General features: G+C 37.0%; 1 protein-coding gene across 21 annotated transcripts in view; it reads right to left on the bottom strand.

Annotated features, from left to right (window-relative positions):
- The window catches only part of RANBP17 (RAN binding protein 17), a 437998-nt gene that overhangs the window by 362232 nt on the left and 57914 nt on the right, over nt 1–17852 (bottom strand). For 20 of the 21 annotated variants that reach the window (XR_007058628.1, XR_941108.3, XR_007058630.1 and 17 more), the window contains one exon: nt 13234–13427. Coding sequence is in view for 16 of the 21 variants with exons in the window: in XM_011534627.2 (XP_011532929.1) it covers nt 13234–13427 (194 nt within the window). In the remaining 5 variants the exon portion in view is untranslated. Of the gene's footprint in view, nt 1–13233; nt 13428–13643; nt 13687–17852 lie in introns of those variants that run through there. The other variant, XM_047417533.1, reaches the window with a different exon arrangement.

The raw sequence follows: 17852 nt of genomic DNA, 5'->3' as shown, positions 1-17852 counted from the left end.
TTAATGTCTGCACACAGAACACAAATCTGAAATGACAAAAGATTGTCATGTGTCATCAGTCAAAACAAAAACAGCACTACAACACAAGCTTACAGGGTCACCTGTAAAGATACTCAACTGAAAGGACAAGTTAGGACTGAAATCCAGCCTATATTCTGCCCACCAATCTATTTACTCTAGCATGTTGTTGCAATGGCCTGGATGAAATGGAACATTTTTCTAATTTGCACAAAGGTACCAAATGTACTACTGAGCTGGTAGAAGAGTAAAATGATCCTCAATGTCCAAAAATAATATGAAGGCTGAAATTTAGAGTTACAGGCACAGAAACAACTAGAGTTTGAGCTTCTCCTCTAATGGCCAAAGGAAAAAGCCTAGGACAGGCCCAATGTGAGAAGTCCAAAAAAGCTGATGCAAAGAGTTACACCCCAAATGAAAATACAAACTGGGTAAAAAAAATCTGCCCTAAACAGAAAGACAAGACAGAAACCTGTCTGACTTGACCTCAGTGCTAACTGAAGAGGAGGAAAAAACCTTTAAGTCAGACCTCACATGGTTTGTGGACTACATACAGACTACCAGTGTGATATGAAAATGAGATATGAAACTCCCATTCTAAGGAAATAATTTAAATGGAATTAAGTTGGTGTCCTCCACCTAGCAAATGAACTAAACATTCCAGTAAAAAGAGATGGTCAGAATGGATTTTTTAAAAGGGAACAACTATTTACCACCTACAAAAGACACACTTTAAATATAAAGACACAGGCAGGCAGGAAGTAAATGGATGGAGAAAGATATACTACATAAATAGTAAGCATAAGAAGACAGTGGAGTGGTTACAGTAATATCAGATAAGATAGATTTCAAGAGTAAAGGTCAATAAGGAAGACATAACAATCACAAATGTTTACATGATACAAAAATTTAAGGAATTAGATTATAAACAATTCCACAATCATAACTGGAGATTTAACACCCCTCTCTCTGCAAACAATATAATTACACAGACAAAAGAAATCAATAAAGACAAAGAATATATGAACATTATCTTAATTTATATTTATATTACACCCAAAAATAGCAAAATACATATTCTTTTCAAGTGTATATGCTACGTTTGCCAGGACAGACAATATTCTGGGTCATATGACAAGTCTTAATAAATTTAGAAAGACTGAAATCACACAAAATGATACTTGACCAAGGTAGGTAAAATTTAAAAATCAGTAACAATAACTAGGAAAACTCTAAATATTTGTAACTTAAAAGCACACTTCTAAATAATCCATAAATCACAAAGAACAAAGAAATAATAATTAAATTAGAAATTATCTTTAAATGAAAATAAAAATAAAACAGCGGCTTGGTGGCGCCAAGATGGCCGAATAGGAACAGCTCCAGTCTGCAGCTCCCAGAGAGACTGACGCAGAAGACAGGTGATTTCTGCATTTCCAACTGAGGTACCGGATTCATCTCACTAGGGCTTGCCAAACAAGTCGGTGCAGCCCACCTAGCACGGCGGGGCATTGCCTCACCCTGGAAGCGCAAGAGGTCCAGGAATTCCCTTTCCTAGCAAAGGGAAGCTGTGACAGACGGCACCTGGAAAATCGGGACACTCTCACCCTAATACTGCGCTTTTCCAATGGCCTTAGCAGACGGCACACCAGGAGATTATGACCTGCACCTAGCTCGGAGGGTCCCATGCCCACGGAGCCTCGCTCACTGCTAGCACAAGAGCCTGAGATGGAACTGCAAGGCGGCAGCGAGGCTGGGGAAGGGGCTTGAGCCATTGCTGCGGCTTGAGTAGGTAAGCAAAGCAGCCAGAAAGCTCGAACTGGGTGGAGCCCACGGCAGCTCAAGGAGGCCTGCCTGCCTCTGTAGACTCCACCTCTAGGGGCAGGGCATAGCTGAACAAAAGGCAGCAGAAACTTCTGCAGACTTAAACGTCCCTGTCTGACAGCTTTGAAGAGAGCAGTAGTTCTCCCAGCATGGAGTGTGAGATCTGAGAACGGACCGACTGCCTCCTCAAGTGGGTCCCTGAGTCCCGAGTAGCCTAACTGGGAGGCACCTCCCAGTAGGGGGGCGATTGACACCTCATAAGGCCCGGTGCCCCTCTGAGACTAAGCTTCCAGAGGAAGGATTAGGCAGCAACATCTGCTGTTCTGCAGCCTCAGCTGGTGATACCCAGGCAAACAGGGTCTGGAGTGGACCTCCAGCAAACTCCAACAGACCTGCAGCTGAGGGTCCTGACTGTTAGAAGGAAAACTAACAAACAGAAAGGACATCCACACCAAAACCCCATCCATACGTCACCATCATCAAAGACCAAAGGTAGATAAAACCACAAAGATGGGGAGAAACCAGAGCAGAAAAGCTGAGAATTCTAAAAATCAGAGGGTCTCTTCTCCTCCAAAGGAACGCAGCTCCTCGCCAGCAACGGAACAAAGCTGGACAGAGAATGACTTTGACGATTCGAGAGAAGAAGGCTTCAGACGATCAGTAATAACGAACTTCACCAAGCTAAAGGAGGATGTTCGAACCCATTGCAAAGAAGCTAAACCCTTGCAAAAAGAGTAGACGAATGGCTAACTAGAATAAACAGTGTAGAGAAGTCCTTAAATGACCTGATGGAGCTGAAAACCATGGCACGAGAACTACGTGATGCATGCACAAGCTTCAGTAGATTTGATCAAATGGAAGAAAGGATATCAGTGATTGAATATCAAATGAATGAAATGAAGTTAGAAGAGAAGTTTAGAGAAAAAAGAGTAAAAAGAAATGAACAAAAGTCTACAAGAAATATGGGACTACATGAAAAGACCAAATCTACGTCTGACTGGTATACCTGAAAGTGACAGGGAGAATGGAACCAAGTTGGAAACCACTCTTCAGGATATCATCCAGGAGAACTTCCCCAACCTAGCAAGGCAGGCCAACATTCAGATTCAGGAAATACAGAGAATGCCACAAAGATACTCCTTGAGAAGAGCAACTCCAAGACACATAATTGTCAGATTCACCAAAGTTGAAATGAAGGAAAAAATGTTAAGGGCAGCTAGAGAGAAAGGTCGGGTTACCCACAAAGGGAAGCCCATGAGACTAACAGCAGATCTCTCGGCAGAAACTCTACAAGCCAGAAGAGAGTGGGGGCCAATATTCAACATTCTTCAAGAAAAGAATTTTCAACCCAGAATTTCATATCCAGCCAAACTAGGCTTCATAAGTGATGGAGAAATAAAATCCTTTACAGACAAACAAAAGCTGAGAGATTTTGTCACCACCAGGCCTGCCTTACACTAAACGTGGAAAGGAACAACTGGTACCAGCCACTGCAAAAACATGCCAAATAAGACCAATACTAGGAAGAAACTGCAACAACGAATGAGCAAAATAACCAGCTAACATCATAAAAACAGGATCAAATTCAAGACCCATCAGTGTGCTGTATTCAGGAGACCCATCTCATGTGCAGAGACACACATAGGCTCAAAATAAAGGGATGGAGGAAGATCTACCAAGCAAATGGAAAACAAAAAAAGCAGGGGTTGCAATCCTAGTCTCTGATAAAACAGACTTTAAACCAACAAAGATCAAAAGAGACAAAGAAGGGCATTACGTAATGGTAAAGGGATCAATTCAGCAAGAAGAGCTAACTATCCTAAATATATATGCACCCAATACAGGAGCACCCAGATTCATAAAGCACGTCCTGAGAGACCTAAAAAGAGACTTAGACTCCCGTACAATAATAATGGGAGATTTTAAAACCCCACTGTCAACATTACACAGATCAACGAGACAGAAAGTTAACAAGGATATCCAGGAATTGAACTCAGCTCTGCACCAAGCAGACCTAATAGACATCTACAGAACGCTCCACCCCAAATCAACAGAATATACATTCTTCTCAGCACCACATCGCACTTATTCCAAAATTGACCACATAGTTGGAAGTAAAGCACTCCTCAGCAAATGTAAAAGAACAGAAATTATAACAAACTGTCTCTCAGACCACAGTGCAATCAAACTAGAACTCAGGATTAAGAAACTCACTCAAAACCGCTCAACTACATGGAAACTGAACAACCTGCTCCTGAATGACTACTGGGTACATAACGAAATCAAGGCAGAAATAAAGATGTTCTTTGAAACCAATGAGAACAAAGACACAACATATCAGAATCTCTGGGACACATTTAAAGCATTGTGTAGAGGGAAATTTATAGCACTAACTGCCCACAGGAGAAAGCTAGAAAGATCTAAAATTGACACCCTAACATCACAATTAAAAGAACTAGAGAAGGAAGAGCAAACACATTCAAAGGCTAGCAGAAGGCTAGAAATAACTAAGATCAGAGCAGAACTGAAGGAAATAGAGACACAAAAAACCCTTCAAAAAAATCAATGAATCCAGGAGCTGGTTTTTTTGAAAAGATCAACAAAATTGATAGACCGCTAGTAAGACTAATAAAGAAGAAAAGAGAGAGGAATCAAATAGACACAATAAAAAATGATAAAGGGGATATCACAACTGATCCCACAGAAATGCAGACTACCATCAGAGAATACTATAAACACCTCTACACAAATAAATTAGAAAATCTAGAAGAAATGGATAAATTCCTGGACACATACACCCTCCCAAGACTAAACCAGGAAGAAGCTGAATCCCTGAATAGACCAATAACAGGTTCTGAAATTGAGGCAATAATTAATAGCCTACCAACCAAAAAAAGTCCAGGACCAGATGGATTCACAGCCGAATTCTACCAGAGGTACAAAGAGGAGCTGGTTCCATTCCTTCTCAAACTATTCCAATCAACAGAAAAAGAGGGAATCCTCCCTAATTTATTTTATGAGGCCAACATCATCCTGATACCAAAGCCTGGTAGAGACACAACAAAAAAAAAGAGAATTTTAGACCAACATCCCTGATGAATATCGATGCAAAAATCCTCAATAAAATACTGGCAAACCAAATCCAGCAGCACATCAAAAAGCTTATCCACCACGATCAAGTTGGCTTCATCCCTGGGATGCAAGGCTGGTTCAACATATGCAAATCAATAAATGTAATCCAGCATATAAACAGAGCCAAAGACAAAAACCACATGATTATCTCAATAGATGCAGAAAAGGCCTTTGACAAAATTCAACAGCCCTTCATGCTAAAAACTCTCAATAAACTAGGTATTGATGGGACATATCTCAAAAAAAATAAGAGCTATTTATGACAAACCCACAGCCAGTATCATACTGAATGGACAAAAACTGGTAGCATTCCCTTTGAAAACTGGCACAAGACAGGGATGCCCTCTCTCACCACTCCTATTCAACATAGTGTTGGATGTTCTGACCAGGGCAATCAGGCAGCAGAAAGAAATAAAGGGTATTCAATTAGGAAAAGAGGAAGTCAAATTGTCCCTGTTTGCAGATGACATGATTGTATATTTAGAAAACCCCACTGTCTCAGCCCAAAATCTCCTTAAGCTGATAAGCAACTTCAGCAAAGTCTCAGGATACAAAATCAGTGTGCAAAAATCACAAGCATTCCTATACACCAATAACAGACAAACAGATAGCCAAATCATGAGTGAATTCTCATTCACAATTGCTTCAAAGAGAATAAAATACCTAGGAATCCAACTTACAAGGGAAGTGAAGGACCTCTTCAAGGAGAACTACAAACCACTGCTCAGTGAAATAAAAGAGGATACAAACAAATGGAAGAACATTCCATGCTCATGGATAGGAAGAATCAATATCATGAAAATGGCCATACTGCCCAAGGTAATTTATAGATTCAATGCTATCCCCATCAAGCTACCACTGACTTTCTTCACAGAATAGGAAAAAACTACTTTAAAGTTCATATGGAACCAAAAAAGAGCCCGCATTGCCAAGACAATCCTAAGCAAAAAGAACAAAGCTGGAGGCATCATGCTACCTGACTTCAAACTATACTACAAGGCTACAGTAACCAAAACAGCATGGTACTGGTACCAAAACAGAGATATAGACCAATGGAACAGAATAGAGCCCTCAGAAATAACACCACACATCTACAACCATCTGATCTTTGAATAACCTGACAAAAACAAGAAATGGGGAAAGATTCCCTACTTAATAAACGGTGCTGGGAAAACTGGCTAGCCATATATAGAAAGCTGAAACTGGATCCCTTCCTTACACCTTATACAAAAATCAATTCAAGATGGATTAAAGACTTACATGTTAGACCTAAAACCATAAAAACCCTAGAAGAAAACCTAAGCAATACCATTCAGGACATAGGCATGGGCAAGGACTTCATTTCTAAAACACCAAAAGCAATGGCAACAAAAGACAAAATTGACAAATTGGATCTAATTAAAGAGCTTCTGCACAGCAAAAGAAACTACCATCAGAGTGAACAGGCAACCTACAGAATGGGAGAAAAATTTTTACAATCTACCCATCTGACAAAAGGCTAATATCCAGAATCTACAAAGAACTTAAACAAATTTACAAGAAAAAATCAAACAACCCCATCAAAAAGTGGGCAAAGGATATGAACAGATACTTCTCAAAAGAAGACATTTATGCAGCCAACAGACATATGAAAAAATGCTCATCATCACTGGCCATCAGAGAAATGCAAATCAAAACCACAATGAGATACCATATCACACCAGTTAGAATGGCAATCATTAAGAAGTCAGGAAACAACAGGTGCTGGAGAGGATGTGGAGAAATAGGAACGCTTTTACACTGTTGGTGGGACTGTAAACTAGTTCAACCATTGTGGAAGACAGTGTGGCAATTCCTCAAGGATCTAGAACTAGAAATAACATTTGACCCAGTCATCCCATTACTGGGCATATACCCAAATGATTATAAATCACACCGCTATAAGGACACATGCACATGTATGTTTATTGTGGCACTATTCACAATAGCAAAGACTTGGAACCAACCCACATGTCCAATGATGGTAGACTGGATTAAGAAAATGTGACACACATACACCATGGAATACTATGCAGCCATAAAAAAGGACAAGTTCATGTCCTTTATAGGGACATGGATGAAGCTGGAAACCATCATTCTGAGCAAACTATCCCAAGGACAGAAAACCAAACACGGCATGTTCTCACTCATAGGTGGGAACTGAACAATAAGAACACATGGACACAGGGCGGGGAACATCACACATCAGGGCCTGCCGGGGAGTGGGGGGAGCGGGGAGGGATAGCATTAGGAGATATACCTAATGTAAATGACGAGTTAACAGGTGCAGCACACCAACATGGCACATGTATACATATGTAACAAAACTGAACATTGTGCACATGTACCCTAGAACTTAAAGTAAAATAAATAAATAAATAAATAAAATAAAAAATAATAAAAAGATTAGAAAAAAGTAATAATAAAACTACAAAACTCGTGGGATGCAACTAAAGTAATGTTTAAACAACTAAAGTAATGTTTAAAGAAAAATTGATAGCTTTAAATGTTTTTATTAGAAAAGTCCAAAAATCTAAAACTCAAAGATCTGCAGTCTGCACCCAGAATTAGAAAAGGAATATCAAATAACATCCAAAGTAAGTATAAGGCAGAAAATAATAAAGGCGAAAAAAAATCAGTGAAATAGAAAATGAAGAAAGAATAAAGATCAATGAAACTAAAAATAGTTCTCTAAAAAGATCAACAAAAGTGATGAAAATCTAGTTGGGTCACTCAGAACAAAAGAAAAAAATGACAAAATTATCAATCTCAACTTCAGCTTCTGGAGATATTAATAACAATGGAATATTAAGAATAGTTTTATTCCAATACATTGAAACATTGAGTAAATTCCTTGAAAGACACAAATGACTAAATTTGACCCCAAGGGAAACAGAAAATTTGAATAGTTCTATGCTGATTAAAGAAAATGAATTCACAATTATAAACCCTCTTGGCCCGCTGGCTTCACAGACGAATTCTATCCCTCTTAAAGAAGAAATAATAGCAATACTACACAAATTCTTTCACAAGATAGAGGAGGAAGAGGAAACACTACCGGACTCATTTTATGAAGCCAGTATTACCATGTTACCCAAACCAGGCAAAGTCACCACAAGAAAACTACAAACCAATATCCTTCATAAACACTGATATAAAATAACAAAAGTGTTGCAAATTGAATTTAACAATTTCTAAAGAAACATTATATTATGACCAAGTAGGATTTATCCTGAGAATGCAAAGCTGGTTTAACATCGAAAAATCAATTAATATAATTCACTACATTCGTAAAATAAAGGAAAAAAGTCATTTGAATAGATGCATAAAAGGTCTATTTTAAAACCCCAAAATAATACGTTATTCATTATAAACACCCTGAAGAATTGAAGAGAACTTCCTCAAACTCATGAACGTCTTCAAACAGCGTACAGATAACATCATACTCAACAGTAAAATGCTCAATGCTTTCTATTTACAAACAGAAACAAGGCAAGAATGTCCCCTTCTTAACATTTTATTCAACACTGTACTGGAAGCCCTCAGTAGAATAAGGCAAGAAAAATAAACAAAAGGCATGGAGACTGGAAAGATGACATAAAACTATCTTTATTTGCAGACAACATGATCACATAGACAATCCTAAGAATCTATGAAATAGTTATTAGAACTAATAAATTAAGCAAAGTTATAAGACACAAAGACAAAATTCAATTCTGGTTTAATAGAGTAGCAGAGAATAATCAGGAAATTTACAATAGCATCAAAAATACATAGGAATAAACTCAGTGAACAATTTCACTAACTGTACACTGAAAACAATAAAATATTGCAAAGAAAACTAAATGTTCATGAACTGCAGGCCTCAATGTTGTTAACCTGGCCCAAACTGATGTATAGATTGAGGCAAACCCTATCAAAATGCTAGCACCTACTTTGAAGAAACTGAGATGCTGATGCTAAAATTAATTAGTAAAGCCAAAAGACCTAGAATAGCCAAACGGTTTTGAAAAAAAAAAAAGGTTAAATAATTTGTATTACCTGATTTCAAGAATTATTAATGCTACAGTAATCAAGACAATATAGTATTAGCATAAGGATAAACATATATAGATCAGTGGTACAGAACAAAAAGTCCACTAATAGACTCTAGCATTTTATGGTCAACTGATTTTTGACCAAGGTGTCATAGTGATTCAATGGGGGAGAAAGATATTCTTTTCTACAAATGGTGTTAGAACAACTGGATAACTGTAAGCCTTGACCCTTAACTCACAACATTCACAAAAATGAACACCAAATGGATCACAGGCCTCAATATAATAGCTGAAACTATTAAACTTACAGAAATCATAGAACTCTTCATAGCATTAGGTTAGAAAAGATTTCATAAATACAAAAACCTCAAGCCATAAAGAAAAAAGTGAAAAAGTAGACCATCAAAATTAAAAACTTTTCACCTTTGAAAAATAGTTAAGACAAACCACAGACTGGGAGGAAATATTTGTAAAACATATATGTGAAAAAGAGATTGTATACAGAATACAGAGCATATAAAGCACTCTTGCAATTCCCTAACACATACAAAAGAGCCAACAATCCAATTTAAAAATGGGCAACAGACTTTTCACAAAATAAGAAATACAAGTGGCAAAAAAGAATAGAAAAGATGCTTAACATCATTAATCATTAGGGAATGCAAATTATAACCACAGTGAGATAACACTAGACACCCAGTAGAGTGCCTAAACAGATGGCAAATGATGGCAGGGATGCAGAGTAAGTGAAACTCTTATACAATGTTAATGGGAATGAAAAATGATACATCCACTTCATAAAACTGTTTAGTAGTATCTTACAACATTAAACATACATTTACCATATGACCCAGCACTCATCTTAGGTACCTATCCAAAAGAAATGAAAATTTCTTCTACATACAAAGACTTGTCTAAAAATGTTAATAACATCATTATTTGCAATAGCCAAAAACTCTAAGTGTAATTCAATGTCCATCAGCTGGTGAATGGATAAACTATGGTAAGGCAATACTATGGAATACTATGCAACAACAAAAAGAAACAAAATATGCTCACCATATTTGAATCTCTAAAACATATGCAAAGAAAAAAAGGAAAAAGATATTTGCAACTCTGATCACACCCAAGGAGCTCACTTTCCTAACTGTAAAAAGCTCTTAAAAATCAAGGAGAAAAAAAGGACCAACAACCCAATAGAAAAATGGCAAAGGAAATGAATTGTTCATTTACAAAAAAAAAGGCCAAATGGCTCTTATGTAAATTTAAACAATGCACAACCTCACTGATAAGAAAAATGCAAAGTTAAATTATACTGAAAAACCATTTTTCACACACAGGATTGCCAAGAATTCCAAGAAATACCTAATGTAGATGACAGGCTGATGGGTGCAGCAAACCACCATGGCATGTGTATACCTATGTAACAAACCTGCACATTCTGCACATGTATCCCAGAATTTAAAGTATAATAAAAATATATATATATTGTCCTATGAAGGATACATGGAAACAATCTCATACATTTCTAGTGGACAAGTAAATGGTATAGTCCTTACAGAAAACAACTGGGCAACATTTGCAGAATTACAAATACATTAACCTTCCACTCAACGGCAATTTCACTAGGAGAAATTTATAAATTCATATATACATAAAATGACACATACAAGGTTTATCTGTACAGGAATACTTTTAACAGGAAAAGACTAAATCACTAAAATCATTGTCAACAGTGGATGGAATGGTTAAATTATGATATATTCAAAAAGTAAAATATTACGTATGTATCTACAAAAAATAAGAGTTCTCTCTATATTATGAAAATAGCTATAAAACACTAAATGAAAACAAGCAAGAAGTAGAGCAGTGAGTATGGTATGCTGTATTCTATGCAAATAAGGGAGGTAAGAATTTATATATTCATAACTCTTTGTATATGCATATAGAAACTTTGGAAAGACATGCAAAACTAAGAATAACTACTTGCTAGAGTGAAGAAAGGGAGGACAGAGTATAGCACTGGAACAGAACACATTTTAAGTTTTTTAATTTTTGCACAATGAAATACATTACCTCTTCAAAAAAATTTTTGTGAATTAATCAAAATCAAGTTTGATATGAAAATAAGAATAACACACTAAAATGATATGCAGCAGACAGGTCGCAAACTTGGAGTGATATTTACAATTCAAAAACCTAAATGATTAATGTCAAAATACATAAAAGACTCCTACAAATCAGTGAAAGAAAGCAATCCAGTGGTGAGGTGGAAATGAACAAAAGAGATGCACATACATTTCACTGATGATGATACAACAATCAATAAACATGAAATAATACTAAACTTATTAATCAGCAGAGTGAAAAGTAAAATACCTAGGAGGTATATTATTCTCAACTAGATCATCAAAAATGCAGGTATAATAATACGAGCTGCTGGCAAGAATCTAGGTCCAGGTCAGCAAACTACAGCCTATAAGACAGCCTCCTGTTTTTGTAAATAAAACTTTACTGAAACACAGACACGAGTATGGTCTACGGCTGCTTCCTGGCTAAAGGCAGACTTGAGTAGTTGCGATGGAGACCTGAAACATTTACTATTTGGCACTTTAAGAAAAAGTTTGCCACTTCCTGATAGAGATTGATGGGAACACCTGAACACTATTGGTAGGATGTCAAATAGTACAAACACTTTGTAAAATAGTTTAACAGTACCTACTAAAGCTGAATATATAATGGATATCACAACAATTGTTAAGGAGCACTGATTTTATTAGCAAAAAACAGAAAACAAATACCTATTAACAAGAGAATGCACAAATAAACTGAGGTACATTCAAACAACGTAACAGTGCATGGTACTGAAAATGAAGGAACTATAGCTATATGCATCAGTATGAGCTGTCATAAATAAAATACTGAGAAATGATAATAAAGTTGTCAAAGAATAAATGCAGTATGATTCCATTTGTATAACGTTGAGAAATATGCAATATCATGTATTATTTTCGGAATGCATACACATGTGGTAATAATGAAGAAAAGGCATGAATTGATAAACACAAAATTCAAGATTGTTAAGTATTTTCTGTTGATAGGAAAGAGGACAGATTTGGAAAGAGGAACAAAGATGCTGCAAAGGTATTGGCAAACGACCTATTCTTTAAGCAAGGTAATAGTGTTTGTGGTTACTGCTATTCTGTATGTCTCAATATATATAAATATCCTTTTATATGAATTTGATATTTAATAACTTTCAAAACTCTTCTAGAAGAATAAATCAATAATGAAGAGACTAAATGCTGCAAAAGTGTTAGTTGTCCCCATTTAATTTACAAATAAGATCCCATAAAAGAAAAAAAACACTGAAGTAGAGAAGATTATCTCACACTAGCCCCTCATCAGTACTGTGTGACTTAACGCAAGATGGACAGATAATAAAACGCATTTTTAAAAAACATTATTCAAATGTAAAGGATAATCTTCTAAAAATTTTTTTAAGTTAAAATGGGAAATCACTGGAAGTAAATTTGATTATGATCTCTTACTAAACTCACTTTCCAATACAAGATAAACAAATATGCAAAACAACTTCAGAACTATAAAGTGCTTTCTACTAGAAATTTCCATTCCTGTAGTGCATCTTAACAAGAAAATTGGAAAAATACATTTATTTTTACTCCCTATGTTCCTGAAAGGACCTAAAAGGATATACAGAAATAAATACCTCCTCCGTCAATAAAGGGTTAAAAACAAAATAAAGAAATTGAGGAATAAAAATAATAGTAAAGCCATAACGAAGGCTAATACCTAAAAGCAAAATCACAATGATATATTATATACTTTTTATTGGCTGAAATTGGGTTCTGAGTTTGCAATCAAGTATAGCAAAGAAGAAAACACAACCAGTTAAGATAGTTATGTTCATAAACTATCTGCTCAAGGGCCATTATCAATTTTTCTTCATATTGATTCCAGAGAGAAGTATATCCTATCAATCTTATAGAGGAAAACTGAAAAAAAAAAAAATCAACCAACAAATTACCAATATACCCAGGAGGTTAATAAAATTAATGGTTTATTAGGGGACCAGGAATTGGGGAAAATACATAAAAATAACTTGCAGTAAAACTATTAAAGTGATTAATGATGTTACTTAATATTCAACATAATACTCAGTAGTCATATAAAGTTTACTGACCTTCCTGAATGGTGATGTCCACAGTTACACCAGAATATGGATGCAGAAGTTTTTGGTAATTCTGTGCATTTTGGTCGAATAACTGCACAAGAAGAGCACATGTCTTTTCATATTCACATCTGCTGACCGTGCACAACTGCTCCAACTGCTGAAACACAGTGGCAGTATCATCCAGTGGATCATCTAAGTGATCTCTGCAAACACAGAATAAGTTTGCAGACAACATTAGAATGTGAAGCACTTTTATTCACCACAAATAAACTTCATGTTAAATAAAAATTCTATAATAAAGGAATAAAAGACAGAGGCAGGAGGTTCACTTGGGGCCAGGAGTTTGAGACCAGTCAGGCCAACATAGCGAAATCCTGACTCTAAAAATACAAAAGTTAGCTGGGCATGGTGGCACACACCTGTAATCCCAGTTACGCAAGAGGCTGAGGCATGAGAATTGCTTGAACTTGGGAGGCGGAGGTTGCAGTGAGCTAAGATTGCGCCACTGCACTCCAGCTGGGGTGACAGGGCGAGACTCTGTCTCTAAAAAAAAAAAGAAAAAAGAAAAGAAATAAAAAATAAAATAGAAATGTATTAGAAGGTAAAAAATAAAACTGTCTATATCTGAAGATGGCATGATTATGTAAACAGAAAATATTTTTAGAAACACAAAAATGCTACTCAAACTAATAGGTAAGTTTAACTAAGGTCATAGCATACGAGGTCAATATACAAAATGACCTGTATTAGTAGATATTGGCAGTGAACAACTAGAAATTCAAATTTAAAAAACAGTATCATACAAAGGCAGTAGGAAACATAAAATATCAATTAAATCTACCTAAATGTATGCAAGATCTGAAGGCTAAATACCATAAAATGTTTGATTAAAGAAAAATCAGAGAAGAGCTAAATAAACTAAAAGATAGACATGCTCAGAGACTAAGAGACTCAATATTGTTGAGATGTCAATTCTTTCCCCAAGTTAATCTATAGTTTCAATGCAATCCCAGTCAAAATCCCAGCAGAACTTCTTTGTAGAAACTAAGAAACTGATTCAAAAATATACATGGAAAAGCAAAGAAAGTAGAATTGCCAAAACAATTTTGAAAGAGAAAAGCCACTTAAAGAACTCATACTATCTGATTTCAAAGCTTATTATAAACCTAATCAAGACAGGGTACTGGTGAAAGAACAGACACATAGATTAATGAAGACAGAGTCCAGAAATAGAACTACATGTATGCAGTAAATTAATTTTTGACAAAAGTGTAAAAACAATTCAATGGAGAAAGGATAGTCTGTTACACAAATGATGTTGAAATAACTGGTCATCTATATGCCAAAAAGAAGAACTCTAGCCTTATGCCAGGTAATATACAAAAATTAGCCTGAAAGAGATCACAGACTAAAATGTAAATTCTAAGACAATAAAACTCCTAGAAGGGAAAATAAAAGAAAAATCTCTGTGACCCTGGATTAGTTTCCATAGGTATAACAACAAAAACATAATACATAAAAGAAAAAATAAAGCATTGGACTTAGTCAAAATTTAAAACTTCTGCTCTTCTAAGGACTCTGCTAAGAAAATGAAAAGGCGGAGGGCTTCCAAGATGGCCAAATAGGAACAGCTCTGGTCTGCAGCCCCCAGTGAGATCAATGCAGAAGATGGGTGATTTCTGCATTTCTAACTGAGGTACATGGTTCATCTCATTGGGACTGGTTCGACAGTGGGTGCAGCCCACGGAGGGCAAGCTGAAGCAGGGCAGGGCGTCGCCTCACCCAGGAAGCGCAAGGGGTCAGGGGATTTCCCTTTCCTAGCCAAGGGAAGCCGTGACAGACTGTATCTGCAGAAACAGTACACTTCTGACCAAATGCTGTGCTTTTCCCACAGTCTTAGCAACCTGCAGACCAGGAGATACCCTCCTGTGCCTGGCTCAGTGGGTCCCACGCCCACGGAGCCGTAACTCACTGCTAGTGCAGCAGTCTGAGATCAAACTGCGATGCTGCAGCTTGACGGGGGAAGGGGGGTCCGCCATTGCTGAGGCTTGAATAGCTCACAGTGTAAACAAAGCACAGACTGGGCAGAGCCCACCGCAGCTCAGCCTCTGTAGATTCCACCTCTTGGGGCAGGGCATAGCAGAACAAAAGGCAGCAGACAGCTTCTGCAGACTTAAACGTCCCTGTCTGACAGCTCTGAAGAAAGCAGTGGTTCTCTCAGCACAGCGTTCAAACTCCGAGAACGAACAGACCACCTCCTCAAGCGGGTCCCTCACCCCTGTGTAGCCTGACTGGGAAACACCTCCCAGTAGGGGCTGACAGACACCTCAAACAGGCAGGTGACCCTCTGGGATGAAGCTTCCAGAGGAAGGATCAGGCAGCAATATTTGCTGTTATGCAGCCTCTGCTGTTAATACCAAGACAAACAGGGTCTGGAGTGGACCTCCGGCAAACTCCAACAGACCTGCAGCTGAGGGGTCTGTTAGAAGGAAAACTAACAAACAGAAAGGAATAGCATCGACATCAACAAAAAGGACATCTACACAGAAACCCCATCTGTAGGTCACCAACATCAAAGACCAAAGGTAGATAAAACCATAAAGATGGGGAGAAACCAGAGCAGAAAAGCTGAAAATTCCAAAAACCAGAGCACCTCTTTCTTCTCCTCCAAAGGACTGCAGCCCCTCACCAGCAAGGGAACAAAACTGGACGGAGACTGAGTTTGATGAGTTGACAGAAGTAGGCTTCAGAAGGTTGGTAATAACAAACTTCTCCGAGCTAAAGGAGCATATTCTAACCCAATGAAAGGAAGCTATGAACCTTGATAAAACATTCCATGCTCATGGATAGGAAGAATCAATATCATGAAAATGGCCATACTGCCCAAGGTAATTTATAGATTCAATGCTATCCCCATCAAGCTACCACTGACTTTCTTCGCAGAATTGGAAAAAGCTACTTTAAAGTTCATATGGAACCAAAAAAGAGCCCGTATAGCCAAGACAATCCTAAGCAAAAAGAACAAAGCTGGAGGCATCACGCTACCTGACTTCAAACTATACTACAAGGCTACAGTAACCAAAACAGCATGGTACTGGTACCAAAACAGATATATAGACCAATGGAACAGAACAGAGGCCTCAGAAATAACACACATCTACAACCATCTGATCTTTGTCAAACCTGACAAAAACAAGCAATGGGGAAATTATTTCCTATTTAATAAACAGTGCTGGGAAAACTGACTAGCCATATGTAGAAAGCTGAAACTGGATTCCTTCCTTACACCTTACACAAAAATTAACTCAAGATACATTAAAGACTTAAATGTAAGACCTAACACCATAAAAACCCTAGCAGAAAACCTAGTCAATACCATTCAGGACATAGGCATGGGCAAGGACTTCATGACTAAAACACCAAAAGCAAGGCCAACCAAAGCCAAAATTGACAAATGGGATCTAATTAAACTAAAGAGCTTCTGCACAGCAAAAGAAACCATCATCAGAGTGAACAGGCAACCTACAGAATGGGAGAAAATCTTTGCAATCTATCCATCTGACAAAAGGCTAATACCCAGAATCTACAAAGAACTTAAACAAATTTACAAGAAAAAAACAACCCCATCAAAAAGTGGGCAAAGGATATGAACAGATACTTCTCAAAAGAAGACATTTATGCAGCCAACAGACATATGAAAAAATGCTCATCATCACTGGTCAGAGAAATGCAAATTAAGACCACAATGAGATACCATCTCATGCCAGTTAGAATGGTGATCATTAAAAAGTCAGGAAACAACAGATGCTGGAGAGGATGTGGAGAAACAGGAATGCTTTTACACTGTTGGTGGGAATGTAAATTAGTTCAACCATTGTAGAAGACAACGTGGCAAGACATTGTGCACATGTACCCTAGAACTTAAAGTATAATAAAAAGAAAGAAAATGAAAAGGCAAACAACACAGAAAATATTTGCAAATACATAACAGAAAGACTTGTGAAGAAAATACACAGACTGCTCAAATCTCAATATAAAAAAAAAAAAAGAAAATATACAACCCAATTAAAAAATGGGAAATGGATTTGACTAGCACACTAGCAATGAATACATACAGATGGTAAATAAGTGCATGAAAATATGCTCAACATTATTAGTCATTAAGGGAAAACCACAATGAGGTACCACTACATAGTTATTAGAATGAGTAAAATTTTTTCAAACTAACAATATCAAGTGCTAGTGAGAACACAGAGCAATTGAGTCTTTCATACATTGTGAGCGGGAATGCAAAATGGTACAGCCACTTTGGAAAATAGTTCGGCAGCTTTTACGAAGTAAAATATATACTATATTTAACATGCATCCCAGGAATCCCACACCTAGCTATTTACCCAGGAGAAACAAAAACTTATGTTTGTACAAAATCTGTGCAGGAGTATTTGCATCAGTTTTATTTACAATGGCCAAAAACATAAACAACTCAAAAGTCCAGCAACAGGTGAATTGGTAAACAAACTGATATATCCACAAAATGGTATACTACTCAGCAATGAAAGTAAAGTACTAACACAACACAGAGGAATCTCTCAAATGCATTATGCTAAGTGGAAAAAAATCAGACTAAA

The sequence above is a fragment of the Homo sapiens genome, chromosome 5 (genome assembly GCF_000001405.40).
Source record: "Homo sapiens chromosome 5, GRCh38.p14 Primary Assembly".
Taxonomy (NCBI): Eukaryota; Metazoa; Chordata; class Mammalia; order Primates; family Hominidae; genus Homo; species Homo sapiens.
This window is presented reverse-complemented; position numbering and strand designations above follow the sequence as displayed.